General features: G+C 45.5%; 3 protein-coding genes across 26 annotated transcripts in view, besides 2 other annotated features; 1 reads left to right on the top strand and 2 right to left on the bottom strand.

The window, feature by feature from the left end:
• The window catches only part of PRKAR1A (protein kinase cAMP-dependent type I regulatory subunit alpha), a 137,694-nt gene that overhangs the window by 95,185 nt on the left and 14,598 nt on the right, over positions 1 to 27,911 (bottom strand). The window lies entirely within an intron of this gene.
• The window catches only part of WIPI1 (WD repeat domain, phosphoinositide interacting 1), a 36,216-nt gene that overhangs the window by 1,365 nt on the left and 6,940 nt on the right, over positions 1 to 27,911 (top strand). Inside the window, exons 2-10 of one of the 5 annotated variants that reach the window (NR_135470.2) lie at positions 3,140 to 3,222; positions 5,235 to 5,404; positions 11,543 to 11,639; positions 19,653 to 19,750; positions 20,420 to 20,512; positions 21,506 to 21,712; positions 22,557 to 22,664; positions 25,972 to 26,136; positions 27,196 to 27,303. Coding sequence is in view for 3 of the 5 variants with exons in the window: in NM_017983.7 (NP_060453.3) it covers positions 3,140 to 3,222; positions 5,235 to 5,404; positions 11,543 to 11,639; positions 19,653 to 19,750; positions 20,420 to 20,512; positions 21,506 to 21,576; positions 22,557 to 22,664; positions 25,972 to 26,136; positions 27,196 to 27,303 (993 nt within the window). In the remaining 2 variants the exon portion in view is untranslated. Of the gene's footprint in view, positions 1 to 3,139; positions 3,223 to 5,234; positions 5,405 to 5,436; positions 7,828 to 11,542; positions 11,640 to 19,652; positions 19,751 to 20,419; positions 20,513 to 21,505; positions 21,713 to 22,556; positions 22,665 to 25,971; positions 26,137 to 27,195; positions 27,304 to 27,911 lie in introns of those variants that run through there. The other 4 variants (NM_017983.7, NR_135471.2, NM_001320772.2 and 1 more) reach the window with 4 other exon arrangements.
• ARSG (arylsulfatase G) overlaps positions 4,113 to 27,911 on the bottom strand; it is a 192,850-nt gene continuing 169,051 nt past the window's right edge. For 8 of the 20 annotated variants that reach the window (XR_007065287.1, XM_047435639.1, NM_001352904.2 and 5 more), the window contains one exon: positions 26,757 to 27,495. Coding sequence is in view for 9 of the 20 variants with exons in the window: in XM_047435647.1 (XP_047291603.1) it covers positions 15,330 to 15,431 (102 nt within the window). In the remaining 11 variants the exon portion in view is untranslated. Of the gene's footprint in view, positions 5,442 to 14,610; positions 15,432 to 26,756; positions 27,713 to 27,911 lie in introns of those variants that run through there. The other 12 variants (XM_047435645.1, XM_047435634.1, XM_047435637.1 and 9 more) reach the window with 3 other exon arrangements.
• Positions 17,786 to 17,875: a silencer, noted in NCBI's record as "silent region_8900". NCBI's record gives its function as "represses an Ori minimal core promoter by ATAC-STARR-seq in GM12878 lymphoblastoid cells {active_cell/tissue: GM12878}" and the evidence as "EXISTENCE:reporter gene assay evidence [ECO:0000049][PMID:35858748]".
• Positions 19,592 to 20,092: an enhancer, noted in NCBI's record as "H3K4me1 hESC enhancer chr17:66432181-66432681 (GRCh37/hg19 assembly coordinates)". NCBI's record gives its function as "activates a minimal SCP1, AML or CMV promoter by ChIP-STARR-seq in naive H9 embryonic stem cells {active_cell/tissue: H9 hESC(naive)}" and the evidence as "EXISTENCE:reporter gene assay evidence [ECO:0000049][PMID:30033119]".

The raw sequence follows: 27,911 nt of genomic DNA, 5'->3' as shown, positions 1-27,911 counted from the left end.
TGTATTGCAACATCACCCAATACCCATAACACATACACTATTCACAAAATATCATGTGCAATTTTCTGTGTCCTTTTTTTCTAAGCTGCTTGTGACTCACTGAATTGCGTTTTAGGATCCACTCATGAGTTGAGACCTGCAGTTTATAAAAATGCTGGTATAGATAAAATCCTGATGTTCTGTAAGAAACATTTTGCAAGAGGGCATGGCTGTTGAAATGCCTGGGTGATGTTTTCCTTCCCAATTGAACACAAGTTAAGAAAGGGGGTTAGTTTGCTTGTAAGTAGTAAATGTTCTAAATTCTGCTTTGTAACATCATTAGATTTGACAAAAAAGGGTGTTAATTTATACTCTAGCCATTAAATAACGCAAAGTCCCAGCTTTCTACAGAAATTGAATAAGAATGTTATTTTCAAAACGGTAGGGTGCTTTGAAAGTTAATTTCCTTACTCCCTACTGTTAGTTTTATTTTCTTGGATGGAAGCTCTGCTGGGCAGCTTTGCCTTGCCTATAAATAAAAGTTCTTGTCACAGTCAGTTGCTTTGAGCCACAGAGGGTATGACATTGGATTTTAAAATAAGTCAAGCCCCTTACTGAATACATTTAGGTGTATTGCCATGTCTTTTTCTATAAATGTAGGCTGAATTTGGGATCCAGTATTTCCAAAGAAGGTAGGTGAAAACAGCAAACCCTTACCAGTCCCCTACGCTCATACTTCGTGATTGGTACTTGTGCTATACACTTTGGGTACTTTTTTTTTTTTTTTTTTTGAGACAGTCTTGCTCTGTCACCCAGGCTGGAGTGCAGTGGTGTGGTCTTGGCTCAGTGCAGCCTCTGCCTCCCAGGGTTCAAGCGATTCTCCTGTCTCAGCCTCTCAAGTAGCTAGGATTACAAACGTGTACCACCACACTCAGCTAATTTTTTGTATTTTTAGTAGAGACGGGGTTTTGCCACATTGCCCAGCTTGGTCTTGAACTCCTGACCTCAAGTGATCCACCCACCTCAGCCTCCCAAAATGCTGGGATTACAGATGTGACACACTATGCCCAGCCTACTTTGGGTACATTTTAAATTTGATTAATGATAAATATTTGTCCCAAGCTCTGTTTCCATGAGTGGTGATTAGAATTTTGTTTCTACAGAAAGACTTTATGGATGAAATAAGGTCTAAGTCTAAATTCCTTGATTCAGAGTCTTTTGTGGCCATTGATCAATCACGTAAAACATCACATAAAACATCACTCTGTGATTTTCTCATATGTAGAATTCTTCTGGTCCAGGAGCAGGGCTTATGTTTGAAAATTACTTTAAATTGCTGTCACTTTGCATTAATGTTATAAGACTCTAGTTACAGTATTTCTTTCCTTACTTGCAAACTTTACAAACCTCATTTCGCAGCCAAACACATCTATATTTATGTGAAAAAGTTTATGTGAAGAAAGTTTAAAAACAATAACACTACAAAATACATTTTGAAGTTTTAAGATGCTCTGGGCTTACTTTTCCAGTTGCTGTTTGTCATCATGAATACCTCAGTCTAGGTACTAAATGCCAGTTCTAAGTGCACAGCTGCAAATGTCTAACCCACCAGTTTAGCTACTTAGCAGGTTGGAGGGCTGCGAGACGTCACCAGCTACCTTGTGGATTAAAAGTTTACTGTAGTTGCCCTATCCCTGTGTCCCAGGGAAGAACAAATGTCTGGGTAGGGAAAAAAAATTCCAGGGAAAATCATGTGACCTTCTCTTTTTTAGGCTAGTGAAACAAGAGCCTTGGCCATCCAGGCTTGTAATAGTAAGTTGCTTATTTTAGTATATGCTTCCCTGTAAAGAGTGAATTTCACCTTGCCTTCCAGAGAAGCACACTTCTGTGAGTGTGCTCCGGGTCAGATTCTGTTCATCACTTAGGTGCGGAGGGCACAGCTGGAAAGAGCTGGGTGAGGATTCCCAGCTGCTGAACAAAGTTGACTTTGATGTTTACTTTCAACACAAGGCCAAGAAAATCTGGATTCACGTCCTGTCTTTATCTCCTCATTGAAAAATGAAAAATTAAGAGAACCAGATTTTTTTTAAGAGGCACTTTGATTGTCCTAGATAAATGTTTAGTTTGTATTTTGTTTGTTGGTTGTGATGATTGCTTTGTAGGATATAGTAGAAAGCAGAGTTCTCCAACTTGGGCTGCTCATTAGAATACTTGAACTTCAAATCCAATTAAACTTCCCAGCTGAGTTTAATATACATCCAGGTGTGAGAGCTACTAGTATGAAGTATCAGGACATTTTTCTGGAAACTGATGAAAGGAAGCATCTATTAAATTTTACCTACTAATGACCTACTATGCCTACTTTGAAAGTGTATTTCTTAGACCAGGCATGGTGGCTGATGCCTAAGCACTTTGGGAGGCCGAGGCAGGTGGATTACTTGAGGCCAGGAGTTCAAGACCAGCCTAGTCAACATGGTGAAACCCTGTCTCTACTAAAAATACAAAAATTAGCCTGGCGTGGTGGTGCATGCCTGTAATCCTCACTGCTCGGGAGGCTGAGGCAGGAGAATTGCTTGAACCCAGGAGGCGGAGGTTGGAGTGAGCTGTGATGGCACCACTGCACTCCAGCCCGGGTGACAGAGCGAGACTCCCTCTCAAAAAAAAAAAAAAAAAGGAAAAGAAAAGCAAAGCATGTTTCTTCTTATAAGCAACAAACAAATAAAGTTATGAAGGAAAGAAAAACTGATTTATCTGGTAAAGTGCCTCTCAGACAACAAGAAGGCCCCCTCGTTGTGTTGGAGGTAGAGCTTTCAGCTATTATGAATATTCTTAAACATTCAATTTTTCCTGTTATCTGCCCAGTGGGAAAAACATGTCTGCTAGATTTGACATTTTGTTGGATGACAGAGCTCATGCAGTTTCATGCCCCTTGATCATTTCACTTTTTTTTTTAAGTTGCCTTTGACTTTTTCTTCTTTTCTTTTGCTCTTCCTGCCTGTCAAGACATGCGTCACCATTTAGGAAGTTACCAAGGATCTAAGCTCCTGCAGATGCTTGTTTACTGTACCCCTGAGGCTAGGGGGCAAAAGGCATCTATTTGCAGACAGATCTGTTGTTAGAATACCTGTCGTTATTCCCATGCTGTCATTATCCTCCACAGATCCCTAGCAACTGGAACTAAAGCCGGGTATAAGCTGTTTTCTCTGAGTTCTGTGGAGCAGCTGGATCAAGTCCACGGAAGCAGTAAGTGTGTGTGAGAGAGACCTCAGGGATCTGCAGGAGAACCAGAGCCTCCTTCTAGGCTTTAATCTGCGGTGCTACCAAGCTGCCTATTTTTCCCTTCCTTAGCCATCAAACTTAGGGAGTCAAGATTTTTAGATTTAAATATAAATCGTTGCCACTACTTGCTTTAAACCACAAGCACTTAGATCTGGCAACAGTTTAAGTAACATTTTCTTTTTATAGAAGAAATTATTTGTGTGAAATCATATTATTGAGACTTTTTCACATGCTTATATGCACAGTCATTAATTTTTATAACTGTCAAACCTAAAGGACACTTGTGACATTTTCTTTCTTTCTTTTTTTGAGATGGAGTCTTGCTCTATCACCCAGGCTGGAGTGCAGTGGCACGATCTTGGCTCACTGCAACCTCCACCTCCTGGGTTCAAGTGATTCTCCTGCCTCAGCCTCCCAAGTAGATGAGATTACAGGCACATGCCACCAAACCCAGCTAATTTTTGTATTTTTAGTAGAGACGGGGTTTCACCACGTTGGCCAGGCTGGTCTCCAACTCCTGACTTTGAGTTATCTGCCCATTTTGGCCTCCCAAAGTCCTGAGATTACAGGCGTGAGCCACCTCACCCAGCCACCTGTGACTTATTTTTGCCATTATATTGGCACCATAAGATACTGATAACATTGATTCAGTTTTGGAAGTATTTGTTTGAAGAAGGCAACGGTATCCTATTTACATAGCCCATGTCAATGATGTTGAAGCATGTCTAGTGAACACTGTAAATAATTCACTAGAAATGTGACTTCCTTATTTTGTCAGGGTGATGGTTTATGCCATCATAATAGCGAACAATATACAACCTTTCAGTTTCCTGGAAAAAAAGTGGTTCAGTAAATAATATTTTGGGCTCCTACTTTATTTGTAAGATGTTATTGTTATTACACCATTTTTGTGAATTTTTTGCTCTATGTCTGTCCCACATTGTTCCCTGTGGGCCTTTTCCAAGTGGAAGAAAGGCACACATATGAAAAGAATGTGCTCAGAAAGATACCAAAGCCGTAACCTTTGTGCTCAGGAGGGTCATTAACTAACTTCTTCCTGAGTACAGAAGTACTTTCCTCGTCATAATACTGATGTCCAGATGGTTTTCAGCAGGAAAGAGATCCAGGGAGCACAGCAAGATAGGGGGTGGGGGGAGTACAGATTTAACTGTGTTACTGTCCCCTCCCATATTGGCACCCCTCTAGCAGGACAAGAAGAATTCTGAAGCAGAAGTTCCCAACTGAGAAGTCACGCCTTTGAAATCTCTCAGGGAAAGGGTAGATGAAAATTGTTCAAATATTCCAAACATGTTTGACAGAGCAAACAGTGGAGCCCTAGGGTCTGGAGGGGAGATTCTGCCACTCAGACAGCATCAGAGGCAGCTGTCTGCCTTTGCTCTGACTTGCAGTCTAGTCACTAGTGTTTTCTTTTTCTTTTCTTGAGACGGAGTCTTGCTTGTCGCCCAGGCTGGAGTGCAGTGTTGTGATCTCGGCTCACTGCAATCTCTTCCTCCTGGGTTCAGGTGATTCTCATGCCTCAGCCTCCCGAGTAGCTGAGATTACAGGTGTGCACCACCATACCTGGCTAATTTTTAAAATATTTTTAGTAGAGATGGGGTTTCGCCATGTTGGCCAGGCTGGTCTTGAACTCCTGGCCTCAAGTGATTCTCCTGCCTCAGCCTCCCAAAGTGCTGGGATTACTAGGCGTGAGCCGCCATGCCAGGCCACTAGTGTTTTCTTTACTTTAGATATTTGGAAAGGACTCTGAAAGTGCTCCCTGGGAGAGGGTAAAAAGCCACCTGGCAGGGTGGGGGGCATGGTGGATCACTGTCAATGCAAGCTCAGAGAGGGCGCCTGGCCGGCAAGACCCGGAGAACCTTTGGAACCTGGCCTGCGCCGGGCCCAGTGTCATGGAGGCTGGAATCCTTCTTGGAAGTGATCAATCCATGTAACCTCCCGGCTGCTTTTCCTCCCAGATGAAATCCCGGACGTCTACATCGTGGAGCGCCTCTTCTCCAGCAGCCTGGTGGTGGTAGTCAGTCACACAAAACCACGGCAGATGAACGTGTATCACTTCAAGAAAGGCACAGAGATCTGTAATTACAGCTACTCCAGCAACATCTTGTCCATAAGGCTGAACCGGCAAGTAAGTGGGGAAATCCCTCAGGGTTTCAAAGCTTCTGCTAACGGGAGCCAAACAAAAAGATGGACATCTTTCAAGATCAATGTCTGTAAAACAAGCTTCCAATTCTAATGAGAATGTTAACACTCAGGCCCCGTGTCCCGGGGGTATTGTAAACAGAGTCTACTCCAGGTGCTGGTTGTAACGTTGTTTTCCCTAGACCTCTGGCTCATGTTTCCAGAACGTTGGTCCCTGACTGGTAGGCTGCACCCTCTCCCTAGGGTACAGATTGGGCACCGCAGGGATGGGTCAGAGCTCTGGCTTGGACAGTCCCATGAGCCACCGCAAGAGCACCTTAAATCAGAGGAGCGACTCTTCTGGTTTTGCCCTAGATAGTGTCATTCATTGCAGATGTTGGGGCAATACCACTGAGCAGGAGATGCCTGAGAGTGAAGTGGGGGCTCCCTGGGTCAGGAAAGCTGCCCTTCTCCCACCACGTCCTCAGCTCTCCTGGAAGGTCTGCTATTCAGCCTTGGGTTCTCATTTTTCTTTTTCCCAGCTAACCCTTGAAGACTTTTTGTTTTTTTTGTAGCATTTTCTTTGTTGAAGGATTATTCTGATCTCAAATAGGCAATATGTTCTCTTTTAAAATATAAATTCTTATTCAGTAAGTATTGGGGGTGTTAGCAGATTTCCTTTTGAATTGCTGGGTTTTCATTTTGGGTTGTTGTTTCTGTTTTTGAGACAGGGTCTTGCCCTATTGCCCAGGCTGGAATGCAGTGGCACAATCTTGGCTCACTGCAGCCTCCATCTCCCAGGCTCAAACAATCCTCCCACCTCAACCTCCTGAGTAGCTGGGACTACAGGTGGGCACCACCACGCCCAGCTAATTTTTCTGTATTTTTTTATATTGCCAGAGTGTATTCGTCTATTCTCACATTACTCTAAAGAACTACCGGAGATTGGGTAATTTATAAAGAAAATAGGTTTCACTGGGTCAAGGTTCTGCAGGCTGTACAGGAAGCACGGCAGCATCTGCTTCTGGGGAGGGCTCAGGGAGCTTTGATTCATGGCGGAAGGCAAAGCGGGAGCAGGCGTCTTACGTGGCAGGAGCAGGACCAAGAGACGGGTGGGGGGTACTACCCACTATTAAACAACCAGGTCTCGTGAGAACTCACTCACTCTATGGTGGGGGATGGTACTAAACCATTCATAAGAACTCTGCCACCTTCCTCCAACACTGAAGATTACAATTCGACATGAGATTTGGGGAGGGACACTGATCTGAATCATATTACAGTGTTTCCCCATGTTGCCCAGTCTGGTCTCAAACTCCTGGGCTCAAGGATCCTCCTTGGCCTCGCAGAGTGCTGGAATTACAGGCATGAGCCACCACGCTTGGCCAAATTACTGTGAAGGCAGGCACTGTGCTGGTGTGTTCACCATTATACGACCTGGTAGAAAAGGCAGTGCTTGGTAGATACGTGCTCATAAATATCTGTTTCCTGACTGACTGTTAAATAAGTAAATAAACAAAGAGATTCTTTATGTGACCATGCAGATTTATCTATTCAATTAAGTATTCCCAGAGCGGTTGCTGCATTCATTGAGGACAATGTTTTCTTCTGTCTTTGTCTAAACTCTTAAGTACTAATTAATTTTTTTTAACAAATGAGACAAATAAATGCTTTTTAAATTTATGAGAAGGAAGGGATTGTTTCTTTGAATTGATCAACTCTTTCAAATGAAAATCCACTTAAGTCCACCTAAAGCAGTGCGGTGAAAAATAGCTGGAGAAAGAGAAGTGGGACCTTTTAAGTAGGGAGTAGCAGGAGTAAGAAAGAAAAGAAACCTGCATTCTTGGCAAGGGAGGGAAAGGCAGTTTGAGAGTTTTCTGATTGAAGGCTTTTAGATGAAATTCTTGACTCAGGTGTTTTCACTGAAATCTGTTGGTAGCAGATTAAGTTTCGCTGCTAAACTTTTTATCCTTGCATATAGTAGTAATCCGTATACAAGGTTAAATGTCTGTTTTTGGCACCTGATGATCTTTTTAAGATTGTTTAGGCAAATGATCTGTAAAGACCGGAACCCTCAAATAGCGTCTATTGTATTTGCTTGTATGATTTCTCTCTTTCTGTCTGGTATATTCATTAGCAAATGGGACAAGGAAGGCCTATTTGAGTGTCCGAGTCTGTTAACCTTTAGGTGCCAGCCTCCCCTTAATATAATACTCATTAACTGTGAGGTTCTCCTCCCCCACCTTCTAAAGAACACTGATGCACCAGGAACTGTCAGCAATTCATGGCAAAGCCACGAACCAAGATCTAACAGTTCTCGGAACCAAGATCTAACGTCGGAACCAAGATGAGCATCGGTTCATTGGAACCAATATCTAAGAGTTCTCCCTTCCTTTACATTTCTTCTCCGACAAGAATGATTTGAAACAGGTCTGGGAAGTATTGGGGGTTTGCTTTTCTTAAAACTTTCAGGTTTGGGACTTAAATTTTGGTTTAAGCAACTCAGCTGCTGCAGCCTCTCTTGCCAGGTAGGGATTCTGTGGTGTCCGGGAGGACTGCCCACTCTGGGGAAATGATAAAGGCCCAAGGGGAGTGTGTCCTGTTCTATTCTGTAGCACTCAGTCTGCTACTTCCTCAGGCCTTCAGACAGCACAGTTTCTTTTTTGAAAAACAGGAAAAAGTTAAAGATTTGGATAAGGTGTTATAAGGATCCAAAATCCCTTTTATCTTTTTTTTTTTTTTTTTTTTTTGAGATAGAGTCTCACTCTGTTGCCCAGGCTGGAGTGCAGTCTCAGCTCACCACAACCTCTACCTCCCGTGTTCAAGCAATTCTCCTGCCTCACCCTCCCAAGTAGCTGGGACTACAAGCACCTGCCACCACGCCCGGCTAATGTTTTTGTATTTTTAGTAGAGATGGGGTTTCACCATGTTAGCCAGGATGTTCTCGATCTCCTGACCTCGTGATCCACCCACCTCGGCCTCCCAAAGTGCAGGGATTACAGGTGTGAGCCACCGCACCTGGCCCCAAATCCCTTTTTTCTAAGTATATAGGAAGGAAAGGGCCAAGTGTGGTCCCAGCACTTCAGGAGGCCGAGGCAGGAGGATCGCTTGAGCCCAGGAGTTTGAGTCCAGCTTGGGCAATGTAACGAGACCTAGTCTTTACTAGGTCTTTACTATAAAAATAAATTAGCTGGGCATGGTGGCACTTGCCCGTAGGCCTAGCTACTTGGGAGGCTGAGGCAGGAGGATCGTTTAAGCCCAAGAGTTGAAGGCTGCAGTGAGCTATGATCACGCTGCTGCATTCCAGCCTAGGTGACACAGCAAGACCCTGTCTCTATAAAAAATAAAAATTTAAAAATTTAAAAAAGAAGAACACTTAGGAATTGTCATATGTTTCATTTTTAGTTAATGTTATTTCTCTTGTATTGAACTGAGGAAATATATTTTATGGAATCAAGACAGCTGTATGATGTATTTAGATTTGCATACTTTTACAGTTCTTTTGCAGTCTCCTCCCAGGGGCCCTTGCTATCCAGATGGAGGCTGATTGGCTCGAAGCCTCTGAGGCCAAATCTGTGGTGTTCTAGGGCAGATGCTATAAATATTTTGTAATTGATAAAAGGAGTTATTGCTTATAAAACCTAGAAAAGTAGATGAAATTCAAAGCAACAGACAAGGAGCTGAGTTGAAGGCAAGACCATGGTTCTGCGGGGGCTGAAAACTGATAGTTAAAAAAGCAATCAGCAGCATCGTGCCCACCCCAGAAGCATGCTCTCACACGAACTAAGAGTGCATCCTCGTTCCCTCCCAGTGTTTTCTCTCTGTTTCCCTCTGCGTTTAGTCTTATCTGCAGCCAGCATGAGGGTGACCTGAAATTCAGCTGAGTGAGCCGCAGAGCAGATGGTGCCATCAGAGCTCTTGGGAAAAAAATGCAGATCAGATCAGATGGGCTAGATGTAGATGCTGTTTCTAGGAGAGGCATATGTCAAGGCCCCGCTATCCCAGGGATTGGGTGTGGGGCTGGGAGGGGACACAAGAGGATATCAGAAACCTCTGAACAGAAGGAAGCATAGAACCACGTAGTTCTAACCACGGCATGTGCTGGCAAAAGGCACAGTGATTGGATAAGTCAGAGAATATTTCACAGAGGAACACTCATATTTATCATCAATTTTGAGAACCTGTTAGAATTTTTTTAACCCTCAGTCCCCAGTCTCAGACCTACGACAGAGCCTTAGGTAAAACTGAGAAAGGGCTGGGCACAGTAGCTCATGCTTGTAATCCCAGCACTTTGGGAGGCCGAGGCAGGAGGAGCTCTTGAGCTCAGGAGGTAGACTAACCTGGACAACATAGTGAAACCCGGGTCTCTACAAAAAATACCAAAAAATTAGCCAGGCATGGTGGCGCACACCTGTAGTCCCTGCCACCCGAGAGGCTGGGGTGGGAAAATGGACTGAGCCCCAGAGGTTGAGGCTACAGTGATCTGTAATCCTGCCACTGCACTGCAGCCTGGGTGACAGAACGAGACCCTGTCTGAAAAAAAAAAAATTGAGAAATGTGTTTAAATTTTATTTTTCTGCTTGGTTAACACTGATGACCTTCATCATTCTGAGCCATGGATAGTCTTCCTTGGGGAATAGCAGGGCAGGCTTTTCCCAGGAGCAGAGCCTGCCTCTTTTGTGTGGTATTTTTTGGTACCTTCCCTTCTAGCTGATGTTCCCTGGAATAAAAGGAGCTGGCTGAGACCAGTGGTTCTTGAGCCTCAGTGTGCATCGCAATCACCTGGTATTCGTCTAAAAACTTCCCAAACCAGAATCTCCGGGGAGAGCCCAGGGCTTGCTCCTTGGGCAGCTCCTTGGGCATCCAGGTCTAAGAAACACTGGCCTGAGGGGAGCCAAGTCAGGCATGTGCAGGGGTGGTCGGCAGCTGCTCAGATGTGCGAGGAGCTGCCCAACCAGAAATGCCTTCCTGACACCTCCTCACCAGCACCGATGTCTGCCCTTGTACTGGGCTATGCGTTATATTCCTTTAAACACCCGATACATCAACCCTGTGGCCTGTTTTCACTTAGCTGAGAGCACAGCCATTGGGAAGAGGCTCTGAACCTGACAAGCTTTCATGTGGAGAGGAAGAGAAGGGTCTGGCAGCAGTGGGGAGAGCAAGCACCAGAGAGAGGAGCCCAGGAAGGAACAGTGGGGACGTGGGGCACTGGGGTGTTCAAATGGGGCCGAAGCCCTTCTCCTTTTCCCTTTGCCAGGGCTCAGACAGCGGCCCAAAAGCAGGCCTGGAGGAGAGTCTGAGTAGAAATAAGTTAGAGCTGGTAATTATTCAGAGAGGGGTAAAACCTAAGATTTGGTGATGGAGAGAAAGCAAAGAAACCCATTTTTATATAGGAGGGAGACCTGTGCTATAAACACTGAAAGGCAGCCTGTTAGATGGCAGTGGAAACTACAGAAGGCACATGAAATTGTCTTACATGGCACAGGGGGTCTGATCAGAAAGTGTTCAGAAGTCCTGTTGAACGCGGTGGCTCAGGCCTATCATCCCAGCACTTTGGGAGGCCGAGGCGGGCAGATCACCTGAGGTCGGGAGTTCGAGACCAGCCTGATCAACATGGTGAAACCCCGTCTCTACTAAAAATACAAAATTAGCCAGGTGTGGTGGTGCATGCATGTAATCCCAGCTACTCAGGAGGCTGATGCAGGAGAATTGTTTGAACCCTGGAGGCAGAGGTTGCAGTGAGCTGAGATTGCGCCACTGCACTCCAGTCTGGGTGACAGAGTGAGACTCCTTCTCAAAAAAAAAAAAAAAAAAAAAAAGTGTTCAGGATCCCTGTTCTAAGGAAAGAAGGAGAAGGAAGAGAGGGAGGGAGGAATGGAGGGAGGGAAGAAGGAAGGAGAGAAGTAAAAACAATCTTAATTTCTAATAAAATTTCTTAAGATCTTGCATTTTATGCTTGTGTTCAGGTGGATGATTACATGTGTATGTGTGTACATCCATAAACACAATCTTCAAAATGCATCATCAAAATTCTGCTTTAGGCTTAGAATCAAGTTAGGACTCATATGAAAGATGAATGATTTGGATTTGGTCAGGGTCTTTGTAAGGAACGGTTCGGTAGACTGATAAGTCTGTGTGATTACAGAGGCTGCTGGTTTGCCTAGAAGAGTCCATTTATATTCACAACATTAAAGACATGAAGCTGTTGAAGACCCTCCTGGATATTCCTGCAAACCCAACAGGTGAGCTCCAAAAATGGAACAAATGTCCCTGAAATTTCATGTCCTGGTGCTTCTTTCCCAAGCTTTATTTTCCTCCAAATTGCGAACGTGAAGCAGTGTTTGCTTTTTGAGTCTTAGTGAGGTTTATCTCGAAGCTTTGTCTTAATGGCGGCAGATTCAAATTATGTCAGGCTGTGTGTCCTGCAGGGGGGCTGTGTGCCCTTCATTGCAGTCCAAGAATAACAACACCCTTTGTCTGGGACCCATATCAGCAAATGTGTCAAGGCACGTAAGGTAGACATGTAAAAGATTTCAAGCATCTGCTGTTGAAAAGTGTTTACCCCTAATTGTTTTTTGTGGTTCGTTCAGTACAGAGTAGGCGTGATAATTAGAAGCAGGTTTCAACTTGGCGTGTCTGCATGGCCAGCAAAAAGACAATCTGAACCATAAAGAATATGTTTTATTACATGACAAAGAAATCTCTCTACTTCGACGATATGCTAGGATATTAAACCTTACTGAATTCTCGGGATTTAACACTATTTAATACATTCCTGGTGTATAAGAAGAGGAATGGTTTGGATTTGTTATATTGAAATAGCAGATGACATTATATGAATTCATCAAGCTAGGAGTAAACAAGAAAGAATTCCTTCATTGTGTGGTGGGGTGAGGAGTCAGCACACTGGAACAACTTGTACATTTAATGACTCCAGATTAATATTTGCAGATTATATTTCAGTTTGGTATCATTGAACAACTGCTTCTATTATATTTCAGTTTAGTATCATTGAACAACTGCTTCTATTTGCTGTTTCTGAGTTATTTGGCTTTCACTGAATTTCAAGATCTATCTGGGTGCCATCCAAGTCACCTAGACTTTTTGAACCTTGGTTCCCTTATGAATAATACCCATCTCCCAGGGTTGGCTGAGAATTAAACAAGGTAATGTTTGTGAAAGTGACCAGCACAGGAACTGCCATGCATGAAATACTTCTGATGCCTTCTCTTCATTCCAATTCTATAAATGGCCCTTGGCTGTTGATTTCAGTGCTTTCACATTTCAGCTATGGCAAAAGGATATTTTAAAAGAACAAAGCTAGCCGGGTGCGGTGGCTCACACCTATAATCGCAGCACATTGGGAGGCCGAGGCGGGTGGATCACCTGAGGTTAGGAGTTCAAGACCAGCCTGACCAACATGAAGAAACCCTGTCTCTACCAAAAAAATACAAAAATTAGCTGAGCATGGTGGCGAGTGCCTGTAATCCCAGCTACTTGGGAGGTTGAGACAGGAAAATTACTTGAACCCAGGAGGCGGAGGCTTCAGTGAGCTGAGATCGCACCACTGCACTCCAGCCTGGGCAACAGATCGAGACTCTGTCTCAAAAAACAATGAATAAATTAAAAATAAATAAATAAATAAAAGAACAAAGCCATTGAGGCTGTTAGGGAGTTCTGTGAGATAATGACTTTGAAGCACATTTTCTGAAATGGAAGACGGTACGTGAAGAAGCTGTGGGTGGTAAGTTTTTCCCTTAGAAATGAGAGGCTGAAATCATCTGGACAAGTATCTATTGCAGACATTCTTTGTGCTTGGCACCATAGTAGGCACCATTAGGCAACCTCATACCAGGAGCCCAAAATCTAGTTGTCACGAGTTCCCTTCAACAGTCTGTCTGAGGTGGTCTGAGACAGGTGCGCCAGCAGCCTTTGGCAGGGGTGGAACCATGTTTAACTCTGGGGTGCGGACACAGTTGAAGGGAGCATGTGCTCTTCTGATCAGGAATGAGAGGCCCCTGAATCTGCATAGAGCTTGAGGCTGGCAGGGCCTGAGCTGGGCCTTCAGGGATTTGGGGAGGGACATCGGGCATGCAGAAAGCTAGAAGCTGCCTGTGGCTCTCAGTTTCTCTGAAGAGAGGGGAGTGGACAGTAAATGCCACTTACTCCTCACACCTGTTGCACACTTGACCCCCAGAGGACAGGGTTGCTTCAGGACTGAGCACCCTCCCTTGCAAACAGATGTTTCTCCTTTTTTTTTTTTTTTTTTTGAGACACAGTCTCACTCTGTTGCCCAGGCTGGAGTGAGGTGGTGCAATCTCAGCTCACTGCAACCTTCGCCTCCCGGATTCAAGTGATTCTCATTCCTCAGCCTCCTGAGTAGCTGGGACTACAGGTGCCTACCACCACACCCAGCTAATTTTTTGTATTTTTAGTAGAGATAGGATTTCACCATGTTGGCCAGGCTGGTCTTGAACTCCTGTCCTCAAGTGATCCGCCCGCCTTGGCCTCCCAAAGTGCTGGAATTATAGGCATGAGTCAGCATACTTAGCCACCATTTACTCTTATTTTTTAGCAAATATAGTTGTTTTTCTGTAGTTCAGAAAACTCACTGGTTGCCTTACTTTCTGCAGCTTAAACAGAGAGAAAATAAGGTTTAAAAGTGCAGGGCTATTTGTGTTCCCTGTTAGAGACAGTGTATATTGTTTGTAAAGGGAATCGATTTTATCTCAAGAAAAATGAGAAACAATAGCAGAGACTTCCTCTGTCTCAGATAAAAGAATGCCTCCTTATGAAAGGATCCAGGGATAGGTTGAGTATTTCTTCTGAAAGACCAGGAGCAAACTGTGTCTTTTTAGACCTCTGATGTTCTTTGGAGATATAGCCCAAGGTGTTTTAAATGCTCACGTTTATAATTATCACCTCAACTTCTCCTGAGCTCCCTTTCTACTGCAGTAAAATGGAGATGATCATTTTTAGCCCCCAGAGTTGCCACGGAGAGCGTTACCTGAGGTTGTGGCCTGGGTGGGCAAAGGTGGGTCCGCCCTGTCCATGCGGGCAGTCAGACTCACTCCGCAGCCCTCTCTGTCCCATAGGACAGCCTTGCACAGGTCAGAGCTGCGCTTCAGTGACATGACCAGGTCCTCACTCGGGAACCTTCAGAGGACTCCGCCCTGCCAATTATACATTCCCCAGAGGCCAGGAGTCGCCTTATCTGTTCTCATCCTCTAGTTTATTTTCTGAACAAAGAAATAAGATGGAAACTGTGACTGTTGATTTTATAAATCCTTGCTGGGTACAGAAGGAAGACACAATCACTCGTCTAATTGTCTTCAGCACACAAATCCTGAATGCATTTTGACTTCATAAACTACAAGTAAATTAGCTATACAGAGTTCGCCTGTTGCCTCACACTTGGTATCTAACGCAGCTGTAAATTTCCTTCTTTCTGTCTGTTTGTGTCATGCCCGTTCCTGTTGTGTCAGAGATTGCAGGCTGTTTCCTTTAAAGAGCTTGGCCAGACAGGGGCTCGAAGTTAATTTCCTGCTAGCACAGCAGTCTGCTCTGAGCAGTCAAGGGTGGAAATCTCCATGAAAGTCCTGCCAACTGCAGACCTCCCAGTATGGAGGAGGTGGTCACAGAGCTGACCACCTTTTATGGGATATTGAGGGAGCGTTCCATACCACACAGCAATGCAGATCATTGAACAGTTCATGGTTTCTTCCCCAGCAAGACCTCTTTCTTGTTTGAAAATGCTAATAAAAGTGGTATAAATGCTTCCCTTTTGTAGGAGCATAGGGCATTTGCTGTACAAAGAAGATGTCTTTCTATTTTTGAAAATCGGAAAGCGTAACCTGAGACATTAATCAACTCAGAGGGAACTGCATTTTATAAATCACTGTTAACTTACCTAAAGTTTGACATGCAATACTTTAAATACCAAGATGAGAATCATTTAGAATCATGGGACTTCCTTTGAATTCCACTGATGATGCCATTGGTTCTTGAGTTGAGAGCAGGCACTTCTTTTCCAGCTGTAGAAGAATTACAGCCAAACAATTACAGTGGAATTATAGCTGCCAGTGACTTATGAAAATATGTGTCAAGCTATAACACATCCAAAAGCCCCATCAGAACCTCATTCCTAGGTAGAAAAAAGACTGGAAGAAAATATGCTCAGATGTTCAGAACAGTGAAAAGCCTCTGGGTTTTAGAATTGTGGGTGATTTTTTTTCTCCTTATATTTTCTAGGCTTTGCAAATGTTCTACACCATCACTTTTATATTATACAATAATATTTTTAAAGCCCATATCCTTCCTTAAAAAGGCTTTGTGTAACACCTGTAACAGAAAGAGGAGACTGGCAGAATGGCAATAGCCAAGCTAAGGAAAACTCTTCTTGCTTGCCTTGGGTGGTTCCCAAGATACGAAGATACATTCGTGTGGCTCGTTGGATTTTTCTGACACTTGGGCCATAGGGAAGTCACAGTAGGCTTTTCTGGGGACCTTCATTAAGTCTGTAAGGGTAGGAAGGCAGGATTCCTTGTCTAAATTCAGATGGATTGGTAGAGGTGCGAGCCTGGAGGCAAAACTGTCAAATAAGTGGTATGTGTCAGAGTATGCCTGCCCTCACTCTTATCCTTTGTCCCTTTCTTGTTAGCATCTAGTGTCAACCAGTTCTATAATAGGTATTGCAGAAAGTTCAATATTAGCTTAGAAAGTTTAAACGTTTCTTCCCTTCTGGGAATATTTATGTTTTAACATAAGACTCTGAAGCACAGCTGGAGGTATGCGTCCAAGGCTTCTGCTCCAAGACTGCTTAGCTCTCTCTGCCACAAAGACACGCCCAGTATTTTCAGAGGGAAGAAGTAAGAAACGAAGGCTTGGCATCTTGAAGTGTTAAATCTGGAAAGACCTCTATATCACGGTAGCCTTCATTTCACAGACAGGAAACAGGCCTGAAAGAGCAGCAAATAACTCGGCCAGAGTTTCACAGTACATAGCAGACCTCAGTCTTGAACTCATGTCCTCAGCCTATCTCTAACCAGATAAATATTCCTGAAACATGCCTTAAAATAAAATTTGAAAATCTTTTTTGAGATAAAATTCACATCCTATACAATTCACCCGTTTAAAATGCATGGTTCAATAGCTTTTGGTATATTCACGGAATTGTGTAACCATCACCACAATTAATTTTAGAGCATTTTCATCGCCCCAAACCTTGTACCTCTAAGCCATCACTCCCTATGCCCCCAGCCATAGGCAACCCCTAATCTACTTTCTGTCTCTATTAGATTATGGATTTCTCTATTCTGGACATTTTATATCAGGAGACTCATACAATATCGGTTCCTTTGTGACTGACTTCTTTCACATAGCCTAATGTTTCCAAGGTTCTTCTGTGTTGTAGCATGTATCAATACTTTATTTTTCTTGCTGGATAATATTCTATTATAAAAATATATCACATTTTCTTTATCCATTTATCAGTTGATAACATTTGGGTTATTTCCACTTTTTGACTTATGAATAATGCTGCCATGAACATTCATATACAAGTTTTTGTGTGGACATATGTTAAATTTCTCTTGGGTGTATATGTAGGAGTGGAATTTCTAGGTCATATGAGAACTTTATGTTTAGCTTTTGAAGAACTGCTAAACGTTCCAGAGCACTGCCCCATTTTACATTCCCACCAGCGGTGCATAAGATCCCAGTTTCTCCATATCCTCACCAACATTTATCTGTCTTTTTCACTATAGTCATCCTAGTGGTTGTACAGTGGTATCTCATCGTGTTTTTAACACAGCCTTTTTAAAAACATATGTGCTAGGCCAGGCACGATGGCTCACGCCTGTAATCCCAGCACTTTGGGAGGCCGAGGCAGATGGATCACCTGAGGTCACGAGTTCGAGACAGCCTGGCCAACATGGTGAAACCCTGTCTCTACTGAAAATACAAAAATTAGCTGGGCGTGGTGGCACACGCCTGTAATCCCAGCTACTTGGCAGGCTGAGACAGGAGAATCGCTTGAACCAAAGAGGCGGAGGTTGCAGTGAGCCAAGATCGCACCACTGCACTGCAGCTTGGGCAACAGAGTAAGACTCCATCTCAAAAAACAAAGCAAAACATATGTGCTGAGAAACCTTCAGCAGTTACACACTGCATTTGTAAGGTCTTAACTCTTTAGTTTGGTACGCTAGTCCTTGTAAGATTTCCACAGTCTTCACATCTTTTCTGCCAGCCGCCTCTTTGGGAACCCAGCACACAAGACAACCAGATCTCCTGACTGCCTTCCCTCCCCAGTTTCACAAGACTAGAATCCCTTCTGCCTGCCTAGCTGTTCTTGAAATTTCATTTGGATAGCAAAGAATTCAGAAGGGGTGAGGAATTGGGGTTTCCAGAGCAAAACTGGAAATGGACGAGTGGCCTCTTCTAAGGCTGGGGCCAGGAATGACCTTGTATCGCCAAAGGGGTGGCAGGGCTGCCAGAACGTGCAGTTAAAGGTTCCGGGGCTCAGCCACTTCCTCCCGTAGCTATGCATGGCAAGTGATAAGAGGACAGCCCTGCTGTGGACTCAGCAAAGCCAGAGCAGGAAATGAGACCTAGGTTCCAACTCTAAATGTTTACTTTCTTTTTCCTTTGCTCTCCTTCCTCAGCAGATTAGTTGAGGTATGTTTCAGCCTGACCTAAAGTTTTTTCTTATACTTTTAGAAGAAACCCACTTAATATACTAACTTGTAATAGACGCCAGTCACTTTTTTTTTTTTTTTTTTTTTTTTTAAGAGAGATGTCTCTCTTGCGTGATCTCAAAGTTTCTGGTAACACTTTGGTTTCTATGGAATTGCTGGAATTCACTGCTATCATGTGCACCTCTATTCATCTAAACCATTGTTTTGAAAATCCTTTACTTAAATGCTCCCTTCTTGAATCCCCTTATAAATAAAAACAGCTTATGTTGGTTCAGTGGTTTGATGGGCTGTTTACTCTTCCGGAATATTATTGAAGCATCTTAAATCCAAAATGTCCTCTTTATTTAGTTTGTCTCAATGTCTAGGCACACCATCTTGACTGCAGACGCAGACCTCAAATAAACTTCCTCCTCGGGAGGTACCCATTTCCCTTATCAAGGCAGGGCATTTGGCTCAGAAATTGCTCGGTTTCTTTTTTTTTTTTTCTTAAGACAGAACCTCACTCTCACCCAGGCTGGAGTGCAGTGGCACTATCTTCACTCACTGCAGCCTCCACCTCCAGGTTTAAGCAATTCTCCTGCCTCAGCCTCCCGAGTAGCTGGGACTACAGGCACATGCAACCACACCTGACTAATTTTTGTATTTTTAATAGAGACAGGGTTTCACTATGTTGGCCAGCCCGATCTCGAACTCCTGACCTCAGGTGACCCACCTGCCTCGGCCTGCCAAAGTGCTGGGATCACAGGTGTGGGCCACCTTGCCTGGCCTGAAATTTCTCAGTTTCTAAATAGGTTCTTGGCAGCTCCTCTTCTCCAACTTGAAGTTACTGGCCAACAGTATATAATCATCTGCAGAAAGACCAATATGTACTGACTTTTCACTATAGGAAGATTTATTTCAGTTTTGAGGAAATCTCTTGTAACCCTAGAGGATAATGGAATTGGAAGAAAAGTAGATGCTGTTTCAGAGTCCTGGGGTAAAATGTAAAAATGAGCAATATATACACACACACACACACACACATATATATATATTTTTTTTTTTTTGAGACGGGGTCTCACTCTGTAGCCCAGGCTGGAGTGCAGTGGCACGATCTCCACTCACTGCAACCTTTGCCTCCTGGGTTCAAGCGATTCTCCTGCCTCAGCCTCCCAAGTAGCTGGGACTATAGGCACGCACCACCATGCCCAGCTATTTGTATTTTTAGTAGAGATGGGGTTTCACCATGTTGGCCAGGCTTGTCTGGAACTCCTGACCTCAAGTGATCCGCCCGCCTCAAAGTGCTGGAATTACAGGCATGAGCCACTGTGCCCGGCAAGTCTCATTGTTTCACTGTAGCAAGGACGCAGCCAGTGTTAAATCAGGAGGTCTTCCCCTGTGAAGTTGCTTTATTGGAAGCCTTAATCAGAAGAATCATCAGCGGAAAGCAGTTGTCTGCAAAGCCATTCCTCCCCTTGCCAGTAGGTGGCACTGTAGCTGTACTGTTTTCAGATGCCCTCTCCAGCCGTGCAATCTCTCCCTTGGCCCCAGGCTTCTCATGTTCTGTTTCTTCTTTGCCAGGTCTATGTGCTCTCTCTATCAACCATTCCAATTCTTACCTGGCCTATCCTGGAAGCCTGACTTCAGGGGAGATTGTGCTTTATGATGGAAACTCCCTGGTAAGTTGACGGTGACCTGGCTGAGCCAACCCACCTGCCTTGGCTGTGTGGTCATGGAAGGAGATAGATAAGGACGCCCTGCCGTCGGGGGCTGGAGGCGGTGGGAGTAAGCAATACTGGGGAGTTGTTCAAGAGAAGGTGATACTATTTCCCCTCGGGCTTGCTGTGAGTCAACCTCACCATAAGCCAGCTGGCCAGGCCAAGTTAGACATCTGCAGCATAATGAAAACCACTTGCCAGCAGGGGGCCAGTTGTCTCCCTGAATGTGTCACCCTGTCCCATGCCACAGCCTGAGACAGTGTGCAGGTGTTTCATATTCCCTGCCCTCTGGTCTCTGAGGCATCCCTGAGCGGGACAAGATTGCTGTGGGAAGTTGCCTAAAGATGCGTGCAGGGCGCGCCTGCGACGGCATCACACTGCATCAGGTGCTCCGTTCGTGGCCACCTTCCCAAGGGCAGGAAAAGGGATGGAAATGGAGTGGCCCTTGAAGCCAAATCTTGATTCACCAGAAAATGACACACAGCTTACATGCAGATGGCCTGGGGGACAGAGGAAGAGACAGGGAGCTGGACAAAGGAGGGAGAAAGGAGAAAAGAGGAAGGGGAGGGAGGTGAAATCCATCTTCCCTCCTCCGCAGCATCTGTATCCATTTTTCCTTTTCACCAACAGAAAACAGTCTGCACTATTGCTGCCCATGAGGGAACACTAGCTGCCATCACCTTCAATGCCTCAGGCTCCAAACTAGCAAGTGCGTCTGAAAAAGTGAGTCCACTCCCACCAACACCTCTGTCTGGGTTTCGCTGGATGGCTCCTGCCGTGCGCAGGGATGGGATTGAACAAACCTGGTGACATGAAGACTGACTGGTCTCTGGGCCCACTCAGAATTTGTTTCAGAGGGAGAATTTCTGGCCTCTGCATGTGTGGTATATTCATGCATTTGTTAATTCAATAGGCCAGGGGCCTGCAATATGCAAGATACAAGACACTTTGCATGAAAACTCGTGGTCTTATGAAGAAATGTACGTGTACATCAGCCGTAGAGACGGACAAATGCTACACCTTATAAACACAGTACAGTGCAAACCAAATGCTTTACTTTGCTATTTAGAGAAATTGATGTCTTCTGCCTGGAATAATCAGAGAAAGTGATCCAATTGAATTTTTTTTTTTTTTTTGAGGTGGAGTCTAGCTCTGTCGCCCAGGCTGGAGTGCAATGGCGCAATCTCGGCTCACTGCAACCTCCGCCTCCCAGGTTTAAGTGATTCTCCTGCCTCAGCCTCCCGAGTAGCTGAGATTACAGGCACATGCTGCCACGCCTGGCTAATTTTTTGTATTTTAGTGGAGACGGGGTTTCACTTCACTGTGTTGCCCAGGCTGGTCTTGAATTCCTGAGCTCAGGCAATCCACCCGCCTTGGCCTCCCAAAGTGCTAGGATTACAGGCGTGAGCCACCACACCCGGCCTCAAATTGAAATTCTAAGAAACCAGAGCAGTTGGGTGAACACACACATGCACACACACATACACGCAGAGCCTTGGGCACAGGTGGAAGGGAAAAGGTAGACAGAGGGTGTTTATAACATTTTCCAAGAATTGTTGATATGGCACATAAATAAACATGCCTCTATGCTCAACGTGGTGTTCTTCCTCCTCAGAGACAGATGTTCAAAACCAATAAAACAAACTCCTCTCTAAAGGGACATCTCTGTGTAAAGCCACTAATGGTTATGAAATGTCCACCTGCTTTCTTTTCCAGGGCACAGTCATCCGGGTGTTCTCTGTCCCTGATGGGCAAAAGCTCTATGAGTTCCGGAGAGGGATGAAAAGGTCTGTGTTCAATGTCAAACCCATTTTAAAGTCCCCGCAGAAGTCCCGCAGGGACCGCTGGCAGCTGTCTAGGGAGAGGACAGAGAGTGGCTCTGTGCCCTCCACTCACCTGGAGGAAGTGTAACTACTCTCCCAGGTAATTGACTCCCAGGCTTTACTTAGGGCTCAGCAAAACTGAAAGCCGAGATGCTGTTTTAACACAGTTCAGCCGTGAGAGTCCCTTTTTGATGTGTGTGTGGGCGGCCGGCACAGGAGAAATGAGAGAGCCAGGGAGTCACAATCCAAAAATAATTTCTGATTTCCTTCCATGGAAATAAAGGACGATGTAAAGTGTGACTGTTTGGGATCTTATCGGATGTAGGTTTGCAGCCAGATCAGTGCACAGAGCAACTGGAAGATTCCAAGATGCCAGGAAGGCACAGTTCCTCCCTTCTGCTGACAGAGGCAGGGCTATACCTTGTTTCTTCTCACATAAATAAGACTATGGGCCGGGCGCGGTGGCTCACGTCTGTAATCCCAGCACTCTGGGAGGCCAAGGCAGGCAGATCACCTGAGGACCAGCCTGGCCAACATGGTGAAACACCGTCTCTACTAAAAATACAAAAATTAGCTGGGTGTGGTGGTGTGTGCCTGTAATCCCAGCTACTTGGGAGGCTGAGGCAGGAGAATCGCTTGAACCCAGGAGGTAGAGGTTGCAGTGAGTTGAGATCAAGCCACCGTACTCCAGCCTGGGCAACAGAGCGAGAGACTCTGTCTCAAAAAAAAAAAAAAAAAAAAAAAAAAAAAAAAAAAAAACTATGACCCTTTGTGAATCTTTCTGACATTAATTTCTAAATATGAGCACCACAGTGTTTAAGGGATCTGGGTCTACCTAGGCTCTTCAGGATACATCTGATTTTCTTATAAAGCTGATCTCTGAGTTATAAGGCCATAACTCCCATTTCTCTTGCTCACTGACCCATGTGTTGCTGTGCTTGTAGGTATGTGACAATCAGCTCTCTAGTGTTCAGTATGGATTCACAATTCCTCTGCGCCTCCAGTAACACCGAGACGGTACACATCTTCAAGCTGGAACAGGTCACCAACAGGCAAGTACTCCGCGGGGCACCAAATGCTCATTAAACGAAAGGAGTCAGGCCTAGGCTCTTCTACTGGCATGAATGATCTCTTTTCTTTCTGAACACCCAATCTTGGCTTCACTTGGGACTTCACCTAAGTGATGGAGTGTGTGTTAGCAAAACTTTGGAGGCATGATGCACAAAAGCAAAAAACTGGGAGCCACCCACGTGAGTTCACGTCCTGGCTCTGCCTCTTAGGAGCCCAGAGATCCCGGGAAGATAATTTAGATCTGTGTCCTTCAGTTTCCTCATCTGCAAAATGAACATAACAGTAGTATTAAATGAGTCTGCAGATCTAAAGTGTTCAGCATCGTGCCTGGCACATAGGAAGCACTAAGAAGTGTTAGCTGATATAGCTGTAAATATAACAATATATTTATTTATCATTGTTGCCAGCAGCACCACTGAGCGCTTGGGAAGCACCTGCAATTTCTCAGGGCTTAAGAAGCTGTCTGAAAAGTGAAAGAAAAGCCTAAAAAATGGATAAAATCTCTAGGGAAAGAGTAAAAAGAACTTCAGGGCAGACAATGAGCTTTGAGTTACACCTGTGCAGAATGGGGGTTGGAAAATTCTGGAAAGATGGAGGAGTGAGAAAGGAGCAGCCCCCAGTGTTTCATACCCCACGGTGGGGGGCAAGGATTCTAGAGAAAGAGCGCTTTGAAAACGTTACCCCAACCTGCAGAGAAAGGCAGGATCAGGACAGAAAGCCTACTGTATCTGGGGAGTTGGTTGCTGGTACCCTTGGATGGAGTTTCAGAAGAGGAAGGTGTAGAGGCTGGGCACCATATCACGCTGATACATGCTAACACATACGTAACAGAGGCCGGGCACCTTATCACGCTGATACATGCTAACACATACATGACAGAGGCCGGGCACCTTATCAATGCTGACACATGCGGACCTCATGATCCACCCGCCTCAACCTCCCAAAGTGCTGGGACTATAGGCAAACAGCCACATTTATGATTTCACAGTTCTGCAGCCCAGAATGGCAGGACTGGGTCTTCTTCTCAGCATGACACAAGGCTGAAAGAGAGGTGCCAAGATTTCTCTGACTTGCCCTTCTGCCATCTTTTTCTGCCACCAGTTGGAGAAAGCTATTTTTAAAGGCATGTGTGATTAAAGCAAGCCCACGCTGCCTGAGGTCACCTGAGCCATGTCACATATCACAGCCATGGGACTGACGTCCCCTCATCTCTAGAATCCTTGTCTCCCCCCACCCCCAGTGGTGTATGAAACACTGGGGGCGGCTCCCTTCTCGCTCCTTCATCTTTCCAGAACTTTCCAACCCCCAATCTGCACAGGTGTAACCCAAAGCTCATTGTTTGTCCTGAGGTTCTTTTTACTCTTTCCCTGGAGATTATATCCACTTTTTAGGATTTTCTTTCACTTTTCAGACAGCTTCTTAAGCCCTGATCTTTTTTGGAGCCTTAATTCATCATCTGTTGTCATGGGTTTGAGCACTAGAGGGCGGCTGAGCTGTTAAGATGCCGTTCAACCCCAAGGTTCCACGAGTGAGTGATCGCAATTGCTGCTGCAGCCCCGCCTCCACTGGGGATTATTATCAGAGATTGATTTTCCACTCCAGGCTCTCCCGTTTCTGTCTGTGAGCACAGGTGACCAGGAGCAGAACCTCCAAGCTGTTCTGGGTTCTCCGCTCAACCTGTCCACGGGTGTTCATATGTCCCCGGCGGTTACGGCTCACACGTGCCTCTTCAGCCCTGCTTCGCTGGCCAGGGCCCTTGAACGTGTCTTTAGCACCTCGTGCTGGTCCAGCCGTTACTCTTACATTTGGTCTGACTTTCCAGTCTCTTTCAACCAATACCAGTCCATCCTATATCATCTTGCTGATTAATCTTCTGAAAATGTCCCTTTGAACATGACACCTCCTCCTCAGACACCTTTATTCCCCTTTGACCTTGGGAATGAAGTCCCAGCTCCTCCCGTCCCCCTGAGTCAGACCTGCTGCAGAGCCCAGCAGCCACCACCCCCAGAACCTCCTCATTTCCTCCAGCCACAGAGACACCATCCCATAAAACAGTATGCGCCACGTGCCGGGCTCCATGCTCAGTCCCCAGCATCCTTAGTTCTCCCAGCAACCCTGTCAGGGAGGTTGTGATGATGATTCCTGTTTCCCAAATGAGGAAATCTGGACACGGAAACGTTAAGGAACCTCATCCGCCTCTCCCTTCCTCTGTGGTCCTGGACTAGCTCCTGCCTGGACCATCTGTGCAGCACCGCATATTAACTGCTCACGTGGTTTTTCTTTGTATACACCCGTGCTCTCTCAATCTGGAATGCAGGGTCTGGATCGTACACCTCTTTGTAAACCCCAGCCCGGAGCACAGGGCTGTGGGACAGACAGTACAAGGATGTCTCAGGATGCTTCGGATCACAGAACCCTAGCAGTGCACCTAGCATAGTCACTTTCAGATGAGAACATGAAGGCCCAGAGAGGTTTGTCCAAAGACCCCCTAGCCCATTGGTAGCATAGTAAAGAATACCTCCCAGAGCTCTGAGCTGCAGGGCGAGCTTCCCACCAGGACCTAATCCTGCAGACAAGCAGCCTCTCAGCAGTTGCCTGCTCCTGGGAACTCATATGGCAACCTTGGTTCTCAATGTGCCACCCTCTGTGTGGGGCAGAGCTGGGGGTTGTCTCTCACCAACAGAACAGTCACCCCCTTTGTCTGGCAGAGGCCTTGGGATGAAGTTCCATGACTGTAGGCGACATCCCAGGTCCCTTTGCATGATCTCCATCATTACACATGCTGGGTACCTGGGTGACTCCAGGGTTATCTACAATCAAACACCACCCAAAGTGTCTTGCCCGGAGGTTTGCTACCCACTCAGTCTGGCTCAGGAGGCCTTCACGTTGAGATCTGTCTGTTCTTCCATGAGCCCGGCACAGTCCCAAGCTTATTTAATGGTACCTGGATATCAAGTCCATCTCACTCTCTACCCTAACTCTCTTCTGGAAATCTAGGAATCAGACTAGTCATCAGATAAGCCTTCTTTAATAGGGGAAAGCAGTAGCATTGGGAACCTTTTAACAGCTTTACAATGGCTCTTCTGAAGAACAAACAAGCCCTTGATGCTCTTTAGTTATTGCCAGAATAATACGTCCTGGATTGTTCTCAGTGGGCAGAACATTATGCTAAGGCACAGTCTCTCCCTGCTGCGGGGAGTGTGGCTAATGACGCTTGGGTGTGGAGATTCCTGGGTGCGTGTGGGGCCTGCAGCCCAGTCCCATCGTTGCCTGTGCATTACTCCCTAGTCGACCAGAAGAGCCTTCGACCTGGAGTGGCTACATGGGAAAGATGTTTATGGCTGCTACCAACTACCTCCCTACCCAGGTGTCAGACATGATGCATCAGGACAGGGCTTTTGCCACTGCACGCTTGAACTTCTCCGGACAGAGGAACATCTGTACCCTCTCAACGTACGTACAATGACACCCACTCTGAACAAGACCACACTTTCGTCAATGTATTTTTCCAAAGCACAAAAATCCCCAAACCTGAAAAGAAAAAAAGAAAACTTGCCCCAGGCTGGGCACGGTGGCTTACATCTGTAATCCCGGAACCTTGGGAGGCCAAGGCAGGCAGATCATCTGAGGTCAGGAGTTTGAGACCAGCCTGGCCAACGTGGTGAAATCCCGTCTCTACTAAAAATACAAAAATTAGCCGGGTATGGTGGTGCGTGCCTGTAGTCCCAGCTACTTGGGAGGTTGGGGCAGGAGAATCGCTTGAACCCAGGAGGCGGAGGTTGCAGTGAGCCGAGATCATGCCACTGCACTCCAGCCTGGGCGACAGAGCAAGACTCCATCTCAAAAAAGAAAAAGAAAACTTGCCCCAAAGGAAGGGTGAGCGGAATCAAACCCCTGCTTTTCCTATCTGACTTCAATACGGATTCTCAGGGGGCAGCCAGAAGTTGGCATGGGAATTTTAGCCTTCTGGTTATAATGACACTGTCTTAAAAACAATTCTTATTTTTATGTAATTATGTAAAAAGCCTCCAGATCTGTTTTCTAGGTTCGGACTCCTATGGGGCTGACAGATGTTTTAAGAAGTTTAAAGGAGTTTATTCAAAAGTTGAACATTTTTAAAATTTCACAAAACTAACCAGCAAAGACAGTAAGCCAATCCTCCATTTACCCCCTTTCTGTCTTGGTTAAGGGCAGAGACACATGTCAGAGGGAGACTGCGTCCCATGTAGGGAGCTAATGTGTTCACTAGCTATTGCTTCTCGCAGGGTCGCAGCATCTACACTCACTTGCCTCATCCACACTGTCACGTTCAAAGACAAGAAATAATCCTGAAAGTAGATCCCAAGGCCAGAATGCAAAGGAATAGCCAGAAGCCCAGACCAGATCAGTGGGCTAAGGGTTTGTCAAAGGCAGAATCTGGTGACAGCTAGGGTGAGGGGGGCTTTGTCATTGGAAGCGAATCCATCGCCCATCTTCGTTGTCATCACGGTTTATGTTTTCCTTGGCCCTTAGGATCCAGAAGTTGCCACGGCTGCTAGTTGCGTCATCCAGTGGACACCTTTATATGTACAATTTGGATCCTCAGGATGGAGGAGAGTGTGTCTTAATCAAAACCCACAGGTGAAGAGACTGCTTTTCAAAAGACAGCCTTTCGAGAGCTGGTCGTGTAGAGTTGTCCCTTCGCCAAGAACGACAAGCTTCAGTGCCCTTGCATTGATTTGTTCTTCACTGGCAGTCTCAGTGGCAAACCTCTAGTGGGCAAGTGCTCTGCACCGGGCTCTGTGTCAGGTGCCCTCAGCATGTGGTAATCATCTGGAAAAGTGCCAGGATTAATAACACACAAGATGGTCTCCCCCTCAGCCTATGCTCCTAACACAGCCCTGAGCTCACAGTGGGTGTTCAAAAATATTCCCTGCCACCAGGTGTGGCGGCTCACACCTGTAATCCCGGCACTTTGGGAGGCCGAAGCGGGTGGATGGCTTGAGTCCAGGTGTTCAAGACCAGCCTGGGCAACATGGTGAAACCCCATCTATACCAAAAACAAATACAAAAATTAGCCGGTTGTGGTGGCACACACCTGTAGTCCCAGCTACTCAGGAGGCTGAGGTGGGAGAATCACCTGAGCCTGGAGAGGTTGAGGCAGTGAGCCATGATCACACCATTGCACTCCAGCCTGGACAACAGAGTGAGACCCTGTCTCAAAATAAAAAAAAAAAAAAACCTATTCC

The sequence above is a fragment of the Homo sapiens genome, chromosome 17 (genome assembly GCF_000001405.40).
Source record: "Homo sapiens chromosome 17, GRCh38.p14 Primary Assembly".
In the NCBI taxonomy this organism is placed as follows: Eukaryota; Metazoa; Chordata; class Mammalia; order Primates; family Hominidae; genus Homo; species Homo sapiens.
Note: the sequence above shows the minus strand (reverse complement) of the source record. Positions and strands in the feature narration are given on the sequence as shown.